Source organism: Homo sapiens, chromosome 3, assembly GCF_000001405.40.
Source record: "Homo sapiens chromosome 3, GRCh38.p14 Primary Assembly".
NCBI lineage: Eukaryota > Metazoa > Chordata > Mammalia > Primates > Hominidae > Homo > Homo sapiens.
This window is the reverse complement of record NC_000003.12, coordinates 124868216-124890898: the sequence shown is the minus strand read 5'-3', so window position 1 is coordinate 124890898 and position 22683 is coordinate 124868216. Positions and strand designations below refer to the sequence as shown.

The window sequence follows — 22683 nt, the reverse complement described above, 5'->3', positions numbered from 1 at the left end:
TCTCCAGCTTAATAAAAAAAAGGAAGAAGAAGAAGGGACAAGAAAAAAGGCATAAACCACAAAGCAAAAGCTCAGAGCAAAGGCATCTCTAAACCAGTTTTAAGATATTGGAGCCTGGATCACTCAGGATTTAGAGCTTATGGCAGGTCTGGGCAAGTTAGGGGCTCAGGAAACCACCAGGTGATAATAGGAGGGGGGCTAGTAAGAAGGGAACCAGGGGCAGGTTTGATCGCAGAACTTTCCAAGTGCAGTTTAGGTAAGTGACGGACTGTGTTGGATCTGAGTCTGAGACAGATCAAACTGATATTTCAACAGTTTGTAAAGCACTGGAGTTGGAAGAAGGAAGGTGACACGCAGAAGATCCGCTCCACAGGGCCTAGGCTTAAAGAATGCTAGATAAGGCCGGGCGCGGTGGCTCATGCCCCCAGCACTTTGGGAGGCCGAGGCGGGCGGATCATGAGGTCAGGAGATCCAGACCGTCCTGGCTAACATGGTGAAACCCCGCCTCTACTAAAAATAAAAAAAAAATCAGCCAGGTGTGGTGGCACACGCCTGTAGTCCCAGCTACTTGGGAGGGTGAGACAGGAGAATTGCTTGAACCTGGGAGGCAGAGGTTGCAGTGAGCTGAGATTGTGCCACTGCACTCCAGCTTGGGCGACAGAGCGAGACTCCGTCTCCAAAAAAAAAAAAAAAAAAAAGCTAGATAAGTACTAATTTTTATTGTAGTTATTAAGGCAGTATTTACCCAGTTTCCAGGACTCCACGCCCCGTCCATCTAATCCATCCTACACTCCCCTGACAGACAAATCTTTTAAAATCACCACTTGGCACGCAACATCTCATAGCTCAAGCTCTTTCAGGGCATTGATTGATTGATTGATTGAGACAGAGTCTCGCTTTGTCGCCCAGGCTGGAGTGGAGTGCAGTGGCGCTATCTTGGCTCACTGCAACCTCTACCTCCTGGATTCAAGCGATTCTCAGGCCTCAGCCTCCAGAGTAGCTGGGATTACAGGCACCCACCACCATGCCCAGCTAATTTTTGTATTTTTAAGAGACAGGGTTTCGCCATGTTTAGCCAGGCTCATCTCGAACTTTGGCCTCAAGCTATCCACCCGACTGGGTCTCCCAAAGTGCTGGAATTACAGACATGAGCCAACGCGCTGGCCCCATTATTTATAATCACTGCCTCTCAAACTGGCATAAGAGTAGCTCCAAGGCCACTGACCTAAGAGACAGGTAGCTCCAAGATAAACCCAGGACAGCTCCTGTAAAATGTTTAGGGACAAGCGTTTTACATCAAAACAAACATGAGGATATTATAGAATATGTTAACCCCAAATATCTGAGACCAGTCTCAGTCAATTTAGAAAGTTTATTTTGCCAAGGTTAAGGATGTGCCAGTGACGGGAAGTCCTGACAATATGTACCCAAGGTGGTCGGGGTTACAGTGTGCTTTTATACGTTTTAGGGAGACATGAGACATCAATCAATATGTGTAAGACGTACATTGGTTTGGTTTTGTAAGGCAGGACAACTTGAAGTGGGGGCTTCCAGGTTAGAAGCAGATAAGAGACAAAAGGTTGCATTCTTTTGGGTCCTTGATCAGCCTTCCACTGAATACACAATTTAGTCTGGCTCAGTGAATCTGCATTTTTACATAAACAATAGGCCAGAGGGAGCAATCAGGTATTCATTTGTCTCAGGTGAGCCTCAGAGGGATGACTTTGAGTTCTGTCTGTCCTTTGTCCAAAAGGAATTTCCTGTGGGTAAATTGTGAGGGAGGTATGTAGCTTCTTAGCTATCTTAATTAGGCATAAAATGGGAGGCAGGTTTGCCTGACACGGTTCCCAGCTTGATTTTTCTCCTGGCTTAGTGATTTGGGGGCCCTGAGATTTATTTTCCTTTCACAAATACTATAAAGGAGCTTGCTATGGACTGCTGCATCTTTGCCCCCAGGCACACTATATTGTACTTCAAGAAGTTTACTTCCTCAGGCATTGAGGCACCACCTTGTTAGAGTTTGGGAGGAGGCCAAGAAATAAAGGTTAACATCCAAACTCCTTGAGCTGGGCAGTTAGGACAGTTTTCCACTGGGCCCTCCAAGCCATTCTTCCACCAGGTCCCTGGCCTGCAAAGGTGAGACCCCTTTGTTCTTTCCCCCTTACTGCTTCAGTTTTAGCCAAGCCATGCTGCACTTTTGAACGAGGCATCCTAGCTGTCACTTCCTCCAGCAGTTAACCCCTCTGTCCCTCGGTTCCTCAACTGGATAACAGTAGGGTTGTCGGAGGATGAAATGAGTTAATATGGGTAAAGGACTTAGAACAGTGCCTGGCTGGCAGTGTGCTCTCTGTACTTGGTAGGTATTCTATCGTTATTTTCCCCTACCTGAATGTCGCCTCTTCTCTTGCCTATCAACCACTCCACTCTAAACGCACTTGTAGCGAATCCAAGCCCAAGGCATCCTTTCCTGCACCATCTGAGGAAGACCCCACCCCACTCTTTATTGGCTAGTTCAGATCCAGCTTATATGTAAATGATAAGATGAAAGCCTGAGCATATGTTTTTGAGTCTATCAGTTTGATCATGGAAACTGACAGATTATCAGTAAGGACAACGAAATATAGCGGCATATTGGCCAGTCTCAAATCCTTGAAAGGTGCAAAAGTTAAAAAGTGAAAAGTGGGCCGGGCACGGTGGCTCGCACCTGTAATCTCAGCACTTTAGGAGGCAGACACAGGAGGAATGCTTGAGCCCAGGAGTTCAAGACTAACCTGAGCAACACAGCGAGACCCCCATCTCTACAAAACATGTAAAAATTGTCCGGGTGTGGTGGCGCGCGCCTGTAGTCCCAGTTACTCAGGAGGCTAAGGTGGAGGAACCTTTGAGCCCAGGAGGTCCAGGCTGCAGTGAGCCAAGACTGGGCCAGTGCACTCCAGCCTGAGTGAGAGCAAGACGCTGTCTCAAAAAAAAAAAAAAAAGAAAAGAAAAAGAAATGTAGGTTTTACTTGTGCCTCCACGCCCCACCACGCCCTCCCTTGCTCATCCAGAAGTCGCTTTGCGGTTCCACGCGCGGGCGTCTACGTCCCATCTCAGGCCGCCGGCAGTGAGGCTTTGGGAGGATGAGGCGGTACCGGCACGACCCCCGTACCTGCTCTCCCTCTCGCAGTCTAGCAACCGCCTTTGGCCCAAGTAATCTCGGCTCGCCTAATACAGCGTGCCCCGCCCCTTTCCCGTGGCGACGGGCGGCTAAGCAACGGGAGCGGGCTCTACTCAGTGGTTTCGAGCCCCCCACGCCCCAAGTGAGTCGCAAGCGACTTCCACCTGGGCCCGTAGGGCCTCCGCGTCCCGGGCCGGTCCCCGCACAGGGCGGAGCTGGCCCGGCCCGGAGCTCGCCCCGCCCCGCCTCACCGTAAGCTGACCGTGTGGCGGCCGGGCGAGGGCCTGGCAGGGGAGAGAAGGGGAGGAGAAAGGAGAGGAGGAAAGTGGAGCCTGGCGGGCCGGAGGGAGGAAGGGAAGGGGCGGAGGCCAGGGGCAGAGTGTGCCGGCGCGCGGGGGAGTCTCGGCGCTGGGCGCGTCTCGGAGCCCAAGTCGCGGCCGCCGAGCGGAGCCAGCCCCTCCCCTACCCGGAGCAGCCCGCTGGGGCCGTCCCGAGCGGCGACACACTAGGAGTCCCGGCCGGCCAGCCAGGGCAGCCGCGGTCCCGGGACTCGGCCGTGAGTGCTGCGGGACGGATGGTGGCGGCGGGGCGCGGGCCAGCGCGGGCGCCGTGAGCCGGAGCTGCGCGCGGGGCATGCGGCTGCGGCCCCCGGCCCTCGGCCCCCGCGCTCCGGCCCCAGCCCCGGCCGCCGGCCCCCGCGGAGTGCAGCGACCGCGCCGCCGCTGAGGGAGGCGCCCCACCATGCCGCGGGCCCCGGCGCCGCTGTACGCCTGCCTCCTGGGGCTCTGCGCGCTCCTGCCCCGGCTCGCAGGTAAGCCGCGCCGCCCACGGCGCCCAGAGAAACTTTGTCGCACACTCAGCCGCGGGCGGGCGTCTCGGAGGGGCGGGGAGCGCAGGCGGTGCCTGAGGGCGGAGGGCGCCTTCGGGGCACTCCCTGGTGGGCCAGTCGCTGGGGGACAGCCCCGCGGGGCGCTCCCCGCGCGCAGCCCCGCCGGGCTGTCGTGAGTCTCCTGTTCCCTCCCGGGCTGAGGAGGAGCTTCCCTTCCTGTGTAAACAGGCTGGCCGGCCTGCTGACCTAGCCCGCCAGGGCCCGCGCCCAGGGCACGGGGAGGACCGCCGCCAGCCCTGCCTTGGGGCCCGGGCTCTCCGTTGGCGGGCACAAAGCGGTCCTTGTGGCCGGCCGGGAGCGGGCGGGCTGCTGGGGGGATGCCGTCGGTGCCCTGTTCCCGGAGAAGCAAGGGAGTCTCGAAACCCCAGCCAAAGCCCGGGGCCACCTCCACTCCGGAGGGCTCGCCTCCTGGAACAGCGGGTGCACAGGGCCCACAGCGAATCCTGGAGTTCGCTGCGCCTAGGCTAGCCGCCTGCCTTTGAAGATGCAGCCCCCACCCTCCCCGCCCCCCGCCTGCTTCCTCCTCGCCTAGGCCACCGCAAACCCGAGGGGGCACCCGCGTCCCAAACCACAGCCCCACCTGGGACTTCCCTATTAAATTCCTTCTGCCCGACTTTATCCCGCGATTTGCACACGCTCGGAGCCTCACACTCCCCTAACTGTGGAGGATTCTGGAGCAGAGGACAGGGGCTGTGGAGATTGCCTTAGCCCGACGCTGCGGTGGGCTGGCAGCGTTGCAAGGATCCCTCGGTTACCTGCTCTAACTTTTCAGAGTTGGGAGATGATTGGACGTGGTAGTTTGGAGGCCCTCGAGGAAGGATGCACTTGTTTGGGATGCGGATTTTCTCCTTTCTTTTAGGAAATAATAGTGCTCTATTAACTTTCAAGCCGGAGATACTTGATTGCTCTTGTGAGCCAAGTGGTTGCCTGGCTGCCCGAAGGGAGGACTGTTCCCCCACGGTGTCTCATTTACATGAAGGCAGTGGAGGTTTAGGTTTAAGAGCGGAGGAGGGGTCTGAGCAAACAATAACTTCGTTCAGACCCTAATTCAAACTTAATACTGTAGCAAGGTTTTTGGTTTTTGTTTTAAATGGGAAAATAATCACTCCAGAGCTTGGAGAGTAGATGAGTGGATTCCAAACACCCATCCGGCAGCCAGTGCCCATCACGGATATTTTCATGGGTCCCTAGGGAAAGCGAGGAGCAGGAAGATGTAGCCTGCATCACACAGGAATGTATTGTTGTCAACGCTCCCCTGCTCCACAAGGACTTTCCTTTAGTTTGAAATTAGGCACTTTTTCTTTTTTTGGTGGGAACATTTTCTTTTAATACTTCTTAATAATATTAGTAGTTTTTAATTTTGGCAAAATAAGAAAATCTGACAACCCTATGTTAAGCTCCCCTTCTCTTTTTCTGTTTGTTTCTTTTGTTTTGTTTTTAAATCTTAGTTTTCTTTGAAATCCAAAAGTTCAGAAACTGCCAAAGGAGATGGCTTTTAAGTTCCTTTCCAGCTTGACATTCTGTAATTCTGACAAACAGAATTATAATAATAATTTCTAGTTGCAAATAATTTTTTTTTTTTGAGTCAGAGTTTCAGTCTTGTAGCCCAGGCTGGAGTGCAGTGGTGCCATCTCGGCTCACTGCAACCTCCACCTCCCAGGTTCAAGCAATTCTCCTGGCTTAGCCTCCCAAGTAGCAATGATTACAGGCGCTGCGACCATGCCCGGCTAATTTTTGTATTTTTAGTAGAGATGGGGTTTCACCATGTTGGCTGGGCTGGTCTTGAACTCCTCACTTAAGGTGATCTAACTGCCTTGGCCTCCCAAAGTGCTTCAATTACAGGCATGAGCCACCACGCCTGGCTGCGAATAATTTCTAAAAATACATTATTTTCCACTTGCATCTTGCTTTCTCTTTTTCAGAGTTCACGTACATCTTCACGGTGATGTCCATTTTCTCATATGGGCTCAGGAAGGAAGTGACTTGCCCTTCCCCTCTACTTGGGTCAGGAGTGGTGGACCAGGGACCATGGCTTTTGGTCCAGTGCCCTTTGTCCTACCGACTCAGCTTAAGGAAGAGAAAAGCACTGAGCATGGTGGTTCATTTGCAACTCTTTTGGGGTCCTGTTTTCCCATTGCCTATCTTTTCTTTTCTTTTTTTTTGAGACAGAGTCTCACTCTTGTTGCCCAGGATGGTGTACAGTGGCATGATCTCAGCTCACCACAACCTCTGCCTCTCAGGTTCAAGTGATTGTCCTGCTGAGTAACTGGGATTACAGGCATGTACCACCACGCCTGGCTAATTTTGTATTTTTAGTAGAGACAGGGTTTCACCATGTTGGTCAGGCTGGTCTCTAACTCCCAACCTCAGGTGATCCGCCCGCCTCGGCCTCCCAAAATGCTAGGATTACAGGTGTGAGCCACCACGGCTGGCCTCTGCCCATCTCTTTGACTACAGGTTTTGGTGGTGGTGGTGGTGGAGCAAGCCATGGCACTGGCCTCCAGAACTTGCTGCTTACCTCTTAGGGCCCTGAAGCTTCTCAGGATTAGCAGAGGTTGACTCACATCTGTGTCATTTCTCCTAGTTTTTCAGTGTTGCTGAATTAACTTCAACATTCTTTTTTTTTTTCTTTTTTTTTTTTGCTTCCCTTCCCTTCTTTGTTTTCTTGAAGCACTACAGGTACTTTATTCAGGGAGTGTTTCTGTCTTGCCACTAGGAACATTATTTGAAAGAAAAAAACCTAGTTACTCAGAGAAAAGAAAGAGATGACCCTCAGGGCCATGCCTGCCTGGGTGTTCCTGGACCAGTGGTTGAGTGCCTCTCTCTGTTGCTCTAACCCCACTTTCATCTCAGTACGGATTTCCAGCAGGAAACTGACCTTAGGTTTCAGGGGCTCATTTCAAACAAGTCCCTGGCCGGCTGACAACCCCCTCCCGTCCCCACCAAGGGCTATCTCCTGCTCTTTTTATTATCTTATGGCCAAGAGCCTTCAGACAGAATCCTAGGATGTGGTCTTCCCACAAAACCAGGGGTCTCACTGAGGTGAGGCTTTTCCACGCTGCCTTTGCTAAGACAGAGAGAGGAACACCGTCTTATAAAGAGGATCCTGCAACACCGCTGGAATTATGTGTGCTATCACATTCATTTCTTTTTAAAAAAGCAATCGAATGTTCTTCTAGTGAATGCTCTGCACATCCTAAGAAAGCCCTTTGTTTTATTTAGTGGACTCATGTTGGCAGCACCCTTCCTCTACCCCCAACCCCCTACCACATTTCCTGTGGTCTGTGATGGGGTTGTTGGAATTTGGCTGGGTCTGCAGCTCTCTGTAGGTAACCAGGCACAGGTTTAGAGCTGACAGGACAATGAAATACAAACAGTGGGTTTGGTCTGTAGACTGCTGTTTATCCTATGGATTTACATTTTAACTCCATCATCCTTGAGTTGGGGGAGCTTTTTATAAAGGGGATTGAGGCAGAAGAGGGCAGGGTCTAATTAGCTCTAATTAGTATTCCCCGCCTGCTTGTTCTCCATGCTTATTTAGCTACTGAGGCAACGGGGAATTAAAATATCTAAGTAGTTTGGCAAAAGGCCTTTTGTGCCTGCGTGGCCTGGTAACTACTTTTTCTTATTCAGCCTGGCCATGGAAATATTCTGAGATGCTTTAACGATATCAGTAATGTGGGACAATTACAAACTACTTAAATAATAGGGCCCCTTTCACATGGCAGTGTGCAGCTGGGTTAATGGGATAGGGTCTCTTTTCACAGGTATTTCCAGTTGGCTGGAGCCGAGGGCCTTGGAGAACTGACTGCCGTGGTTTGTTTTCCTTCTTTCCGGTTCGAATGGGATTAATGGCCTCTATAAATGTAAAGGAATGCTTTATTTAGAGGCACCCATTTGTTTCTGAGGCTTCTTGCTTCCGTTGAATGCAGGGTTTACTTCCCGGGCCTCATGGTGAAAAGTTTGCTCTAAGACAGGCTTGACTCATCCCCTAAGGCTGATGCTTTGAAGGCACTGCGGGGTACCCTGCCCTCTCTTTATAGGATTCCCTCCCCAACTCCAGCCAGACATTTTCAGAGCTGGTTGTCTCTTGTAGAGCTGGGACCTACTTCTGCAACTTGTTCTCTTTAGTTATTCTCAACTGTCCCTCAGAGTGATCCTGAGATCCAACTCAAGTCAGATCATATCTCTCTGCTTAAAACCTTCGAATGGTTTCCCAGAGTCCTGCCAGGCTCCACGAACTCTCCACCTACTTCTCTGACTTTCCTTCACCACTTTCCCTTCGATCCTTTGCTCCAGCAGCATGGGCCTCCCACTGTCCCTTCAGCGTGCCAGCCATGCTCCCATGGCAGCCCTTCTCCCTGCCTGGAATACTGTCCTCCAAGATATCTGCATGACCGGCTTCCTCCACCCTGCAACCCTTTTTCTAGCATCTCCTGCTCAGCCAAGTTTTCCCTGGCCGCTCCCAGCTAAAGCTGCAACCTCCTCCCTATATCCCGAGTTCTTTTTATCTGCTTTTCTTCTTTAATTTTTGTCCTTAGCACTCACCACCATCTAATGTAACTACATATCTTCTTCACTATTTCCCCTAAGTAGAATTCTCCCCCAGCCAGGATGTGAGCTCCGTGAATAAGGGAGTCTTGTTGGTTTTATTCATCTCTGTATCCTCCATGCCTACAACAGCACCAGGCACATATTTGTTGAATGAATAATGGATGAACCTGAATCTTGGTAATTGGGAGGTGAAGAGGGCGATGCATCCCGTCCTCAACTCCCTGTTGCCTTCCACAGCTAGCTTTGAAGTCAGGGACTATGCATGCGGCTTGTTAGGAAGAAACATCCTGGGAGAAAGAGATTCTGTTGGAATGTGTCAGGATTTTTTTTTTAATTGGAGTCTCACTCTGTTGCCCAGGCTGGAGTGCAGTGGTGCAATCTCTGGTCACCGCAACCTCTGCCTCCCAGGTTCAAGCGATTCTCCTGCCTCAGCCTCCCGAGTAGCTGGGATTACAGGCGTACACCACCGCACCTGGCTTATTTTTTAATTTTTAGTAGAGATGGGGTTTCACCATGTTGGCCAGGCTGGTCTTGAACTCCTGACCTCAGGTGATCTGCCCACCTTGGCCTCCCAAAGTGCTGGGATTACAGGCATGAGCCACCACTCCTGGCTTTGTGTTAGGATTTTTTGAGCTGGTATGGAGGCCATTTGGTCTACTCCCTGAGTTGTTTGCATGAGGAAGCTGAGGCCTGGAAAGGTTAAGTGACTTGCCCTAGGTCACATAACCAATAAGTGACAGAACAAGTCCTCTGATCTTTTATACCCAGTATATCCTGTTCTCCTTCCCTACATCCCTGGGTGGAGCAGAACTATCTCCTCCTCCTCCTGCTTTCATGGCCCATTCCATTAGAGAGACTGGGGGCTGCAGCTGGTCTGTCTCACCTGCTACCTGGTTAATAGCCCTGGTCTTATTTACCTGTGTCCCTGACACAGCCACAATGCTTGGTACTCAGATGATCCCTTCTCTCACCCCAGGATTTTAATGGGCTTAGAAAAACTTTATTTAAAAGATTTGGCCAGGCAGGGTGGCTCACACCTATCATCCCAGCACTTTGGGAGGCCGAGGCAGGCAGATTACCTGAGGTCAGGAGTTCGAGACCACCCTGGCCAACATGGCAAAATCCAGTCTCTACTAAAAATACAAAAATTAGCCAGGCATGGTGGTGTGCACCTGTAATCCCAGCTACTCAGGAGGCTGAGGCAGGAGGATCGCTTGAACTTTGGAGGCCGAGGTTGCAGTGAGCTGAGATCACACCACCGTACTCTAGCCTGGGAGACAGAGACTCTGTCTCAAACAAACAAACAAACAAACAAACTTTTACATATGTACTTTTTCTTTTCTTTTTCCCTTTCTTTTTTATTTTATTTTGAGATGGAGTCTCACTCTGTTGCCCAGGCTGGAGTACAGTGGTGTGATCTTGACTCACTGCAACCTCTGCCTCCTAGGTTCAAGCCATTCTCATGCCTCAGCCTTCCAAGTAGCTGGGATCACAGGCACGTGCCACCATGCCTGGCTAATTTTTTGTATTTTTAGTAAAGATAGGGTTTCACGATGTAGGCCAGGTTGGTCTTGAACTCCTGACCTCAGGTGATCTGCCTGCCTCAGCCTCCCAGAGTGTTGGGATTACAGGCATGAGCCACTGTGCCCGGTGTCTCTTTTATTTATTTATTTATTTTTTAAAAAAAGACAGAATCTCGCTCTGTCACCCAAGTTGGAGTGCATTAGCGTGATCATGGCCCACTGTAGCTTGAACTCCTGGGCTCAACTGCTCCTCCCACCTGGTCCTTGCAAATTGTTGGGATCACAGAAGTGAGCCAGTGTGCCTGGCCCTTAAAAAAGCCTTCAAAGAATTTAGAGCAGTTTTAGATTTCCAGAAAAATTGAGAAGATAGTGCAAAGAGTTCCCATCTACCTCACACCCAGTTTTGCCTATTATTAACATCTTACATTAGTATGGTACCTTTATTATAATTAATGAACCATATTGATATGTTATTATTAACTAAAGTCCATCAGTTTAGATTTCTTTAGTGTTTACCTAAGTCCTTTTTCTGTTCTAGGATCCCATCCAAGATACCACAATACATTGAGTTGTCATGTCACCTTGGGTTCCCATGGCTGTGACAGTTTCTCAGTCTTTTCCTTGTTTTTTATGACCTTGACAGTTTTAAGAAGCACTGGTCAGATATTTTGTAGATCATCCCCCTCTTGGGATTTTCTGATTTTTTCCCGTGATTAGACAGAGTTAGGTGATTTTGGAAGAAGAACATAGAGGTAATCAATTGCCTCTTTAAAAAAATACCTTTTGATAGGTAATATAGTCCCATAATTTTTAAAAGTATAACTCATATCAAGCGAGAAGCCTCTCTTTCTTGTTGCCCATCAGTGTGGGATATTTCTGTGACCCCCTTTTCTAAATAAATTGTGCCTATATAGTTCCTATTATAAAGCTAATAAGCTTTCTTATGTATCCTGAGGGTTTCTATGGATATGTTACGAATATCCCTCTTTCATTTTTATTCAGAGGCAGCACAAAACACAGTATGTATCTTGCTTTTTATTTTTAACTTAGCGATGTATTGGGGTAAGCTTCCTGTCAATACAGAGAGCATGCTCATTCTTTCTTTATAGCTGTCTAGCACTCCATTATATGAATTGGTGTTTTAAAAATAGAAGTCAGATCTGTAAGGCTGGTATTGTTGAGTGTTGTGCAGATGTCTGATGTTCATAAAGGCAGTCTTGAATGAGAACTGCTGGGATAGAACCTTCCTAGGGCATATTTGCATTTCATGGTAACATTTAGACATATGGCTATTTAGTTGCTGGAGTCTATACTGGGACTCTTTTGTCCATTGTGTGACAAATGTGAGGGCCTGGTTCAGGGTGTGGGGAGAAGCATTCCAGGGCATTGCCATCTTCAAGGCAGAAAGGCCATTTCAGCTTCTGTATTCACTTCTGTTATCCTACTGAATATTTTGGATCAGGAAATTCCAACTGCAGATGTATGTTTTAGTAGTAGTTGTCTGACCTTGGACCCATGGGGTGTACAGAAGTGGAGAGAGGCTGAATGGAAGGAGGCCAGCCAGGAGGCTATGGCAGGAATTTAGACCAGAGGGCCTGGCTTGGGTTGTTGGGGCTAGAGGTTGCAGACAGGAAGGGTTGGCTTAGGATAAACATTTCTTGCATCTTGAAAGGAGTGATCAACCGGATGCGGTGGCTCCTTGAATGATTGATGAAACACAGGGGTGAGTCAGTGAATTTTGGAAGAACATATTTTTAGATTACAGTTTGCAGTAAACACTGGGCTTCAGAGACGTGAGGCAAAAGAGATACATGGAGTTGCCACCGAGCTGGGAATAGTCACTATGCAAACAGCAAAGAAGATGAGATGTGGCTATCATCTGGGCTGCTAGTTCCTGTTTCCATGACCTAGACCTAACACTGACATTTGTGAACTCCGTGTGTTTAGTTTTTTATTCATTGCTTCCTTCCTTTTCAAAATGCTTATTGGTGCCAAATGACTCATCCAGCAAAGTCCAAACTCTGAAATATTAATAGGTGGAGAGAGGAGAGATGCCAAAGGGAGTGAGTCTGACATTACACATACCAGCACACAGCCTGTGGTTTTGGATCCTGGAGTACCTGTCTGGTACCTGGTACCCGGCACACTGTGAGTTCCTGGACATCAAGGGCTGGTAGGTCATTCACCTGTGCATTTCTAGCATCCCCCCAGTCCAGTGCTCAGCGTTTAGGGTGTGTTAAGTGCAGAGTTTCTTGAATTTGAATGTGTCCCAACAGCAACTGAATTTTAGGGCAATCATTTTGAGTACAAACGACTTTACTTTTCCATGTGAATATTTAATAATAACAGAAACAGTTAGTAATGCTATATGACAAATTGTTTTACAGTTGTTCATGATGTTTTCATACCAGGTGACTATCACATCCTTTGAGTTTCTTTGGTATTGTGTCCAATTAAGTAAGGGCTTTTAGGCTGGTGGACCAGAAGACCAGAGCTCAGTCTGATCTGCATCAGAATTGAGGAGCTCTTATTGTCCTGAGCCCTGGACCTCCAGCCCAAGTTCCCAGAGCTCATGATGAGGCTCTGGTAATTATAAAGTGTTGTTTGCAAATGTATGTGGCTTTGAAGCTGGATACGGTGGCTCACGTCTATAATCCCAGCACTTTGGGAGGCTGAAGTGGGCAGATCACTTGAAGTCAGGAGTCGAAGTCAGAAGACCAGCCTGTCCAACATGCTGAAACCCTATCTCTATTAAAAATACAAAAATTAGCCAGGCGTGATGGCATATGCCTGTAATCTCAGCTATTCAGGAGGCTGAGGCAGGAGAATCACTTGAACTTGGGAAGCAAGGTTGCAGTGAGCCAAGATCATGCCCCTGCAGTCCAGCTTGGGCAACAAAGCAAGACTCTGTCTAAAAAAAAAAATTATGTGGCTTTGATCAGAGTCCTACGTGAGGCCTTTGACCTCAAATTCCTTTCTGATAAAGGGGCTGTTACAGATCTCCAGAGGACCCTAGAGCTCAGCAGGTCACACCAGCCCTACATCCAAGATGGCAGAGGGACCACCAGGCAGGTATCCCATGTGGGCACTTGCTGGTCAGGACCCCGTCTGACCTCTTTTTTGTAGATAGGGCTCCTTGTTTCAAGTCACATACTCTCATTATCTTACATTTTCATCTATAAAAAGAGGCAACTTGACTAGCTCATCTTAAAACAATCCTAGCCCCAAGGTGCTATAATCTCATGATTTTATGAAAATGATTTTATATATCAAAGAAAAGGATATGCCACAACGAGCCTGAGTTTGTATTTGATAAGGTTGAGGAGAGGAGGAGCAAAGTTACTTTCATTCTAGATTTATTTTTTTTCCCCTGCAGATAGTGATTGCTGACAGGTACGGGGATTTGACCAAAAAATGGGACTGACATTTTGCAACTCTTTTCCTGCACACACTTTTGTTTTTAAAGGCTTAAGTGCCTATTTAAAAATCACTAAGTGAGCCAGGTGTGGTAGCTCACGCCTGTAATCCTAGCACTTTGGGAGGCCCAGGCAGGAGGATCACTTGAGCCCAGGAGTTTGAGACCAGCCTGGGCAACATGGCAAGACCCTGTCTTCCACCACAAAAAAAAAAAAAAAAAATTAGCCAGGTGTGGTGATGTGTACCTGGAGTCCCAGCTACTTGGGAGGCTGAGGTGGGAGGATCACTTGAGGCTAGGAGTTTGAGGCTACAGTGAGTTATGATCACACTACTGCACTCTAGCCTGGGCAGCAGAGCTAGACCCTGTTTCAAACAAAGAAAAAAAAACAAACAAGAAATCAAAAAAAAGAAAAGAAAAGAAAACTCACTGAGTGAGTGAATTCATTTAAAATTAGGAGGTTGTCAGCACATACACAGGCAGGTCCAGCTTCCCAGTAGGTTGTGTTCTCAGACCTTCTTCGTCCACATTTGGCCCTGGATGGCTTTTCCTGCTGAAGTGAGGTCAGGCAAGGTGGGTGGGTCCCAGCAGCCTCAGATCCTCCTGCTGTAGGCCTCCCTGGGTGAGGTAGATAAGGATGAGGAGGCCTAGGGTTCAGGGTTAGGGCTGGTGGAAACCTTTGTTCTCACCCCCTGTGGGTTCTCAAAGCCTCTCTTCCTTTCTTCCTAGCCTCTCAGCTTCTGCCTGTTTCTCCCTTCCCTCTGGTCCCAGCTACTATCCTTATGCCAATTGGTATTTCTTCCTTCTAAAGTCCCTGGGGTGACATGATAAAGCTTCCTTCCCCTACCACCACCTCCTGCACCCACCCCTCTGCCAGTCAGCAGTTTTGCCGTTTGCGATTTCTGTGAGTTTTTACTGCTAGTGACAAAGGAGAAGCAGGGAGTTAAAATTAGCAAATTAGGGAAATGTTCCAGTTGCAAGATACTGGTTTGTTTTTTTTTTAACCCCTATTTTGGCATTTCTTCTCTTTTACTTTTTAAATTTTTCTTTTCTTTTTCCAGCTTTATGGAGGTAGTTGACAAATAATTGTGTATATTTACAGTATATGATATGATGTTTTATTATATGTATATATTTGTAGTGATTACTACCATCCAGCTAATTCACATATTTATCACCTCCCATAGTTATCTTTGTGTCTGTGTGGTGAGAGTATTTAAGATCTACTCTCTTAGCAATTCTCAAGTGTGCAATACATTATTATGAACTATTTTCACCATTCTGCACAATAGATCTCCAGAACTTATTCATTCTCTCTAACTGGAACTTTGTACCCTTTAACCATCTCGCCTTTCTCCATCCCACCTCAACCCCACCAGCCATGGCAACCACCATTTTACTCTCCGTATTTCTGAGTTCAGTTTTTTTCCACTCCACGTATAAGTGACATAATGCAGTATGTCTTTCTGTGCCTCGCTTAATAGTGTCCTCCAGGTTCATCCATGTTGTCCCAAATGACAGGATTTTCTCAATTTTTTAAGGCTGAATAGATTACATTGTATGTGTATACCACTTTTTAAAAATACCACATTTTCTTTATTCATCTGTCTGTTGATTGCATATCTTGGCTGTTATGAATAGTGCTGCAAGGAACATGAGAGTGCAGGTATGTCTTTGACATACTGATTTCATTTTCTTTGACTATATACCCCGAAGTGGAATTGCTGGAACACATAGTACTTCTGGTTTAAGGAACCTCCATATCATTTTCCATAATAGCTGTACTAATTTACATTCCCACCAACAGTGTACAGAGTTTCCCTGGTTCCCTTTTATCCACATTCTTGCTAGCACTGGCTTTTGTCTTTTTTTTTTTTTTTTTTTGAGACAGAGTCTTGCTCTGTCACCCAGGGTGGAGTGCAGTGGCACTATCTCGGCTCACTGCAGCCTCCGCCTCCTGGGTTCAAGTGATTCTCGTGCCTCAGCCTCTCAAGTAGCTGGGATTAGGAGGTGCACCACCACACCCAGCTAATTTTTGTATTTTTAGTAGAGATGGGGTTTCACCATGTTGCCCAGGCTGGTCTCTAATCCCTGATCTTAGGTGATCCACCCACCTCGGCCTCATAAAGTGCTAGTATTACAGGTGCGAGCCACGGTGCCTGGCCCATTGCTCATTTTTGTAACTGGGTTATTTGCTTTCTTAATATTGAGTTGTTTGAATTCTTTATGTATTTGGATGTTAACCACTTATCAGATGTGTGGTTTGCAAATATTCTCTCGCATATAGTAGGTTGTTTCTCTGCTCTGTTGATTGTTTCCTTTGCTGTGCAGAAGCTTTTTAGTTTGATAGAATTCCATTTGCCTATTTTCATTTTTGTTGCCTGTGCTTCTGGGATAATATTCAAAAAGTCATTGCCTAGTCTGATGCCAGAGAGCTTTCCTCGTGCATTTTCTTTTGGTAGTTTTACATTTCAGGTGTTATATTTAAGGTTTTAAACCATATTGAGTTGATTTTTTAAATATAGTGTGAGATAAGAGTTCAGTTTCATTCTTCTGTATATGGATATCTGGTTGTCCTAAAACCATTTATTGAACAGACTGGCCTTTCCCCATTGTGTGTTCTTGACAACTTTGTTGAAGATCAGTTCACTGTAAATGCCTGGATTTATTTCTGGGCACTTTATTCTGTTCCATTGGTCTACATGTCTGTTTTTATGCCAGTACTGTGCTGTTTTAATTACAGTTGCTTTGTAGTATATTTTGAAATCAGGTAACACAATGCCTCCATCTTTGTTCTTCTTGCTTAAGATTGTTTTGGCTATTTGGGTTTCATACAAACTTTTGTGGTTTTATAAAAATTTTAGGATTGTTTTTTCTATTTCTGTGAAAAATGACATTGGGATTTTGACAAAGAGTGAATTAAATTTTTAGACTGGATAGCATGGACATTTTGACAATATTAATTCTTCCAAACCGTGAGCACAGGATATCTTTCCATTTTGGGGATATTCTTCAGTTTCTTTTTCTTTCTTTCTTTTTTTTTTTTTTTTTTTTCCGGCTTTTGAGACTGGGTCTCCCTCTGTTGCCCAGGCTGGAGTGCAGTGGTACGATCATGGCTCAAAGTGCACACTACCACACCTGGTGAAATTTTGTTTTTCTTAGAGACAGGGACCCTATGTTGCCTAGGTCGGTTTCAGACTCCTAGGCTCAAGCAATTCTCCTGCTTTCGCCTCCAAAATGTTGGGATTATTATAGGCATGAGCCACCATGCCTAGCCTTGGGTTTTTTTTTTTTTTTATTTGACCTATTAATAGATATATTGAATCAATGGATTTCCTCTATCTTAATTCAACATTGTATTCCTGGGATGCATGGCTTCTTTCAGTACACTGTACATTTTGATGTGAGAGTATTTGATTTAGAATTTTATTTTTTTAAAAAAATTCTTGAATAAAACCAATGTATTCTTTTTTCTTTTCTTTTCTTTTTGTACTATTTTTGTCATTTTGGATAGACTAAGTGTAAAGGGGCCTTGTTTTCTCTCAGCAAGAGAGGATTTGCTGAGTTATGGGGAAAATGAGAATCCAAGTGGGTCTAGCAGAAGAAATGGAAGTCGCTAACACAAGCGTGCATGCTTGGTGAATGCTTCAAAAACTCAATGTTCAGCCTTAGCAAATGAGCCTTAACCTGCAATTAGCAATGGTACCTGCACCCTTTAGACTCAGAGAGGCCTCCTGTTAAAGAAGGATGTAATTCCCCCTATTCAAAGGCTTGATCCATGAAGTTTATAGCCAGGAACTAATTAGTGCATCTTTATCTTGCTTTAAAGGTCTCAACATATGCACTAGTGGAAGTGCCACCTCATGTGAAGAATGTCTGCTAATCCACCCAAAATGTGCCTGGTGCTCCAAAGAGGTATGTAGGTGGGGGAGGGGAGGAAGAAGGGAAGGAATGCTGCGAGGGTGAGGGTGAGAAGGAGGCCAACACCACAACACACTAATTCACTATACATAAAAATCCTGTGCAGATTCTGTAAGCTGCCTCTTCCCCATCAGGGCAGAGTGATGACAAATCCAAGTTTATGAGACAATAAGATAAACTGGGTTTCTTGATACTGTGGAATGCTAATCCTGTTTTGGGGAAACAAGACTTTCCTTCCCTTTTGTTTGGAGACCAGTTAGGATTCATCTATAGTTTTCTGATCTTTGGTATAAGAACTCCAAAAGACCTGAGCTTGTGAATTGAGTTTGTTGCATAATGATTCAAAACATATCTAGATGGCTGGCATGTTGGTGGAAGCCAGTCATCTTAGTGTGTTTACTTGAGAATAAATATTAGGAATTAGCCTTTATGGAATGATTTTATTTAGAAATAATGGCTGCCATTTCTTTAAGCCTTTTAGAAAGAGATATAGGTTTGGGACAATGTTAGGCTATTGGTATCATAAAGCAATATGGGCTGGGTACTGTGGCTCATGCCAGCATTGTGGGAGGCCAAGGCAGGAGGATTGCTTGAGGCTTGAGCTCAGGAGTTTGAGTCCAGCCTAGACAACATAGCGAGATTCTATCTCTACTAAATAAATCAGGAAAGAAAGAAAGAGAGAGGGAGGGAGGAAGGAAGGAGGGAAGGAAATGTAACTTGGTGGACTAATCAGAAAATGATCGATTTCTAAATTTCCTCTCTTGAAGGAAATTTCTGGGTCACAAACCCTCCCTGTAAAAGTGCCCCATTAAGGTTATTTGTAAAGGAATCCAGGACTTTTTGACTGGCTCAGTCTGCAATGCAGTGCGTGGTCCCTGTCAGGAGGACCAAGAGATGGCTCACGGGAGGCTGGGGTTAGTCTCCATCATGGCAGCCTCAGAGGTCTAGGGATTCCTTTAACCTATGATGGCTAAAAATGATCATGTGGGGACTCTACTAGATGTCATACACTTTGTACATCATACAATATCTCTGATCCTCACAATAGCTCTGTCAGGTGGGTGTAATACACTTGTTTTATTGATGAAAATCTCAGACTCAGAGCAGTAAAATAACTCACTCAAGGTCACACAAGTGTGCCAAAGCTGGGGTTTTAATCTGACCTCTGAGCCCAAGCTTTTCCCTCCAGACTATATGGCCTCTTGCTTGCTATATGAACTCTCTAAAATGCCAATTTTAAAACTTTGGGAGTTCTCAATTTACTTTGAGAGTGGAATCTTCCCAACATATAAACCTTTAATCATATTTGTGATTAATTGTACCATCTTTGTTATCACCCTTCTTTAAAATCTTCCTTTCGTTCTCTATGACCTGCAGGGCAGATCCAAGCTCTGTGGCTCTTGCCTTCCTCCTACCATCATCTCTTGTCTGACCTGACATTTAGCCAGAGGGAACCACCTGCAGATACCCAGAGAGCCCAGCTTGAGAAACCCTGCCTGATCTTCCCGGTGTTTCTCCCCTCCCTGGAGAGCCTTCCTGGCTTTTTCTTCCTCCTTTCCTTCTTTTATTTATTTATTTATTTATTATTTATTTTTATTTTTATTTTTATTTTTTGAGACAGGATCTTGCTCTGTCACCCAGGCTGGAATACAGTGATGTGATCATAGCTCACTACAGCCTCCATCTCCTGGGCTCAAGCAGTCCTCCTACCTCAGCCACCAGGTAGCTGGGACTACAGGTGTGGGCCACTGTGCTCGGCTAATTGAAAAAATATCTTTTAGAGGTGGGATCTCTCTATGTTTCCCAGTCTTGTCTGAAACACCTGACCTCAAATGATTCTCTTGCCTTGGCCTCCCAAAGTGCTGGGATTACAGATGTGAGCCACCATGCCCGGCCCCTCCTTTCCTTGACTGATACCTTGTTTTATCGTTTTTAAGAATCAATTCGGCCAGGCGCGGTGGCTCACGCCTGTAATCCTAGTACTTTGGGAGGCTGAGACGGGTGGATCACAAGGTCAGGAGTTCGAGACCAGCCTGGCCAATATGGTGAAACCCCATCTGTATTAAAGATACAAAAAATTAGCCAGGCGTGGTGTCATGCACCTGTAATCCCAGCTACTTGGGAGGCTGAGGCAGGAGAATTGCTTGAACCTGGGAGGTGGAGGTTGCAGTGACCTGAGATCAGGCCATTGCACTCCAGCCTGGGCAACAGGGCGAGACTCTGTCTCAAAAAAAAAGAATCAATTCAGGCCTGGTGTGCAGTGGCTCACACCTGTAATCCCAGCACTTTGGGAAGCTGAGGTGAGTGGATTGCTTGAGCTCAGAAGTTCAAGACCGGTCTGGGCAACATGACGAAACCCCGTCTCTACAAAAAATACAAAAAATTAGCTGGGTGTGCTAGTGCATGCCTGTAGTCCCAGCTACTTGGGGGGCTGAGGTGGGAGGATCACTTGAGCCCGGGAGGAGGAGCTGTAGTGAGCCAAGATTGTGCCACTGCACTCCAGCCTGGGCGACAAAGCAAGACCCTGTCTCAAAAAAGAAAAAAAAATTAATCAGTTTAACCTCATCTACTCCATAACGACCTGCATACCTGACTGTCTCCATCTGTCTATCCATTCATTTATCCATCCATCCATCTGTCTATTTATCTGTGTATCCATTTGATATGAGAATGTAAGCTCCCTCCACTGGGGTTTTTTTTTTTTTTTTTCTTTTGAGATGGGGTCTCATTCTGTAGCCCAGGTTGGAGTGCAGTGGCATGATGTCGGCTCACTGCCACCTCCACCTCCTGGGTTTAAGCAATTCTCTGCCTCAGCCTCCTGAGTAGCTGGGATTACAGGCACGTGGCACCACACCCGGCTAGTTTTTGTATTTTTAGTAGAGACGGGGTTTCACCGTCTTGGCCAGGCTGGTCTTGAACTCCTGACCTCGTGATCCACCCACCTTGGCCTCCCAAAGTGCTGGGATTATAGGTGTGATCCACCATGCCCGACTGGGGCAGGGGTTCTATCTGTTTTCTTCATTGCTGTATTCCTGAATGGCGCTTACCACATAGTAGTTGCTCAAAGGATTTCACTGGATGGCTATTTATTGTGTGTCTGCTAGGTGCAGGCCATGACTACCTCTTTGTCTCCGTGTACTCTGTGCTTCTTTAGTATTTATAACCTCTTTTTGTTTTAATTTGTTTTCATGCCTGTTACCAACTAAATCATCATCTCCTTGAGAAACTAAACTGTCTTATCTTGGATACCCAGTATCCAGCCAAGAATCTGGCAGGAATTTGTATTTGATATAAGAGTACTGTTAAAAAGACATGAAGTTAGAAAAACCAAAGTTTCAATCAGTTTTGCTGTGATTTACTCTTAATTTCTTGATATGTAAAATGAAGGTGATTGTTCCCACCCTCCAGCATGACTGGGAGTGTAAAATGAGATCCGTGCATGAGAGGACTTGTGGACAAGGCTGATTAGCTGAGCCTCCTGAATGGCTGCCACTGTCATCCATGAGTATTTTCTAGTGACATGTGGCTAGAAAATCCAGAAGCCAGGTCCATTTTTACTTTAAATAGCTTCTTTCCTTGTGCTAGTACTTCCACAAGTCAGACTTCCTGATGCTGACAGTAAATGAAGGTGTCCCTAGGAGCTTGTTATCACCCCAGCCCACACTTAGGTTCCCTGTCCAGCCCACTGGGCTCCCTCTCTGCTCATCAGGAGCCTCATTCTTAGCTGAAGAAATTCCTATGATCCCTGCCCTGGAATGCAGCTTCCCATCTTCTTTGGGGGTGACTTTTCCCCAGGACATGGGTGTGTTTTAGAGAGCCAGGTTAGGAGAGTTCAGGAATGGTTATTTATTTATTTATTCATTTGAGGCAGGGTCTCACTCTCATCATCCAGGCTGGAGTGCAGTGATAGAATCATGGCTCACTCTAGCTTCAACCTCCCAGTCCCAGGTGATTCTCCTACCCAGCTTCCTGAGTAGCTGGGATTACAGGCGCGTGCCACCATACCTGGCTAATTTTTGTATTTTTAGTAGAGACGGGGTTTCACCATGTTGTCCAGGCTGGTCTCAAACTCCTGGGCTCAAGTGATCTGCCTGCCTCTGCCTCCCAAAGTGCTGGGATTACAGGCGTGAGCCAACACGCCTGGCCACAAATGGTTTTGATCAACCTGTACCCCTTAGCAAGACAGAGTAAGTGTGGCTGGGTGCCTTCTTAACCATATATCCCAGGACATCATCAAAGATGTAATAAGCATGTGATGTGTGTGTACACTGAGGGTTGCTGCCCAGTAGACAGCCGGTGAGGGCCAGGTTCCCAACCTATGAGGATGAATCCCATGGTACATTCCATGGGGATTCTCCTGCTCCAGATCCCATGAAGACTTACCCTTATTGTACTTGAAGTGGGCATGAGGATTCCTTATCCCTGCAGTTCACATTCCTTGTAACCTAATTCCATGCCTGCTGGCCACGTCTCCTCCCACAGGTATCATGTATGAGTCCATCAGTGTCCTTTCCCACCACTCCCTGCACGGTGCTCTTGCTGGTTCTCTCTTAGTTGGCTCTGTGTCACATCAGCCCTGGCTCTCTTGCTTTTGTTTACTTTTTTTTTCATTTTTAATCATTTAGTTAATTTATTTTCGGAGACAGGGTCTTACTCTGTTGCCCAGGCTGCAGTGCAGTGGTGTGATCATAGCTCACTGCAGCCTCAATCTCTCAGACTCAAGTGATCCTCCCACCTTAGCCTCCCGAGTAGCTGGGACTATAGACCTATTCCACAACATCCAGGCAAGTTTTTGATTTTTTTTTTTTTTTTTTTTTTTTTGGTAGAGAACAGGTCTCACTATGTTGCCCAGGCTGGTCTCCAACTCCTGGGCTCAAGTGATCCTCTCACCTTGGCTTCCCAGTGTGCTGGGATTACAGACAGTGAGCCACTGTGCCTGGCCTCTTGCCTTCATTTTCTCACCATGCTTTACCTGAGGGTTTCAGACTTACTTTCTGCCCTCATATCCAGAGTCGCCAGACTCTCCCCTACTCTGAGACCAGGATGTATGGGTCACTGCCTGTCTTGGCCTGTCCATGCTGCCCCTGCCTCTCTGCAGCACACTCTCTACCTTGTTCTAGACAGCCTTGGCCGCCTGCTTCTCAGCCCTTATGGTGCTGTTTGTACAGCACAGCTTAAGACACATGTATTAGTCTGTTCTCACATTGCTATAAGGAAATACCCA

The 22683-nt window shown here is 46.8% G+C and overlaps 1 protein-coding gene across 10 annotated transcripts in view, besides 8 other annotated features; it reads left to right on the top strand.

Annotated features, from left to right (window-relative positions):
- The window catches only part of ITGB5 (integrin subunit beta 5), a 139471-nt gene that overhangs the window by 10520 nt on the left and 106268 nt on the right, over positions 1-22683 (top strand). For 3 of the 10 annotated variants that reach the window (XM_005247436.4, XM_006713630.4, NM_002213.5), the window contains exons 1-2: positions 3534-3968; positions 17368-17453. In XM_005247436.4, the coding sequence (XP_005247493.1) occupies positions 3899-3968; positions 17368-17453 (156 nt within the window). In that variant the 5' untranslated portion in view covers positions 3534-3898. Of the gene's footprint in view, positions 1-3214; positions 3300-3533; positions 3969-9038; positions 9057-12209; positions 12297-17367; positions 17454-22683 lie in introns of those variants that run through there. The other 7 variants (XM_047448088.1, XM_047448089.1, XM_047448087.1 and 4 more) reach the window with 4 other exon arrangements.
- Positions 1274-2158: an enhancer, noted in NCBI's record as "OCT4-NANOG-H3K27ac hESC enhancer chr3:124607588-124608472 (GRCh37/hg19 assembly coordinates)". NCBI's record gives its function as "activates a minimal SCP1, AML or CMV promoter by ChIP-STARR-seq in naive H9 embryonic stem cells {active_cell/tissue: H9 hESC(naive)}" and the evidence as "EXISTENCE:reporter gene assay evidence [ECO:0000049][PMID:30033119]".
- Positions 2159-3041: an enhancer, noted in NCBI's record as "NANOG-H3K27ac hESC enhancer chr3:124606705-124607587 (GRCh37/hg19 assembly coordinates)". NCBI's record gives its function as "activates a minimal SCP1, AML or CMV promoter by ChIP-STARR-seq in naive H9 embryonic stem cells {active_cell/tissue: H9 hESC(naive)}" and the evidence as "EXISTENCE:reporter gene assay evidence [ECO:0000049][PMID:30033119]".
- Positions 3156-3595: a silencer, noted in NCBI's record as "silent region_14656". NCBI's record gives its function as "represses an Ori minimal core promoter by ATAC-STARR-seq in GM12878 lymphoblastoid cells {active_cell/tissue: GM12878}" and the evidence as "EXISTENCE:reporter gene assay evidence [ECO:0000049][PMID:35858748]".
- Positions 4056-4145: a silencer, noted in NCBI's record as "silent region_14655". NCBI's record gives its function as "represses an Ori minimal core promoter by ATAC-STARR-seq in GM12878 lymphoblastoid cells {active_cell/tissue: GM12878}" and the evidence as "EXISTENCE:reporter gene assay evidence [ECO:0000049][PMID:35858748]".
- Positions 4810-5694: an enhancer, noted in NCBI's record as "H3K27ac hESC enhancer chr3:124604052-124604936 (GRCh37/hg19 assembly coordinates)". NCBI's record gives its function as "activates a minimal SCP1, AML or CMV promoter by ChIP-STARR-seq in primed H9 embryonic stem cells {active_cell/tissue: H9 hESC(primed)}" and the evidence as "EXISTENCE:reporter gene assay evidence [ECO:0000049][PMID:30033119]".
- Positions 7203-7497: a silencer, noted in NCBI's record as "tiled region #8988; K562 Repressive non-DNase unmatched - State 11:FaireW". NCBI's record gives its function as "represses a minimal TATA promoter and a strong SV40 promoter by Sharpr-MPRA in K562 cells {active_cell/tissue: K562}" and the evidence as "EXISTENCE:reporter gene assay evidence [ECO:0000049][PMID:27701403]".
- Positions 21195-21695: an enhancer, noted in NCBI's record as "H3K27ac hESC enhancer chr3:124588051-124588551 (GRCh37/hg19 assembly coordinates)". NCBI's record gives its function as "activates a minimal SCP1, AML or CMV promoter by ChIP-STARR-seq in primed H9 embryonic stem cells {active_cell/tissue: H9 hESC(primed)}" and the evidence as "EXISTENCE:reporter gene assay evidence [ECO:0000049][PMID:30033119]".
- Positions 21696-22196: an enhancer, noted in NCBI's record as "H3K27ac hESC enhancer chr3:124587550-124588050 (GRCh37/hg19 assembly coordinates)". NCBI's record gives its function as "activates a minimal SCP1, AML or CMV promoter by ChIP-STARR-seq in primed H9 embryonic stem cells {active_cell/tissue: H9 hESC(primed)}" and the evidence as "EXISTENCE:reporter gene assay evidence [ECO:0000049][PMID:30033119]".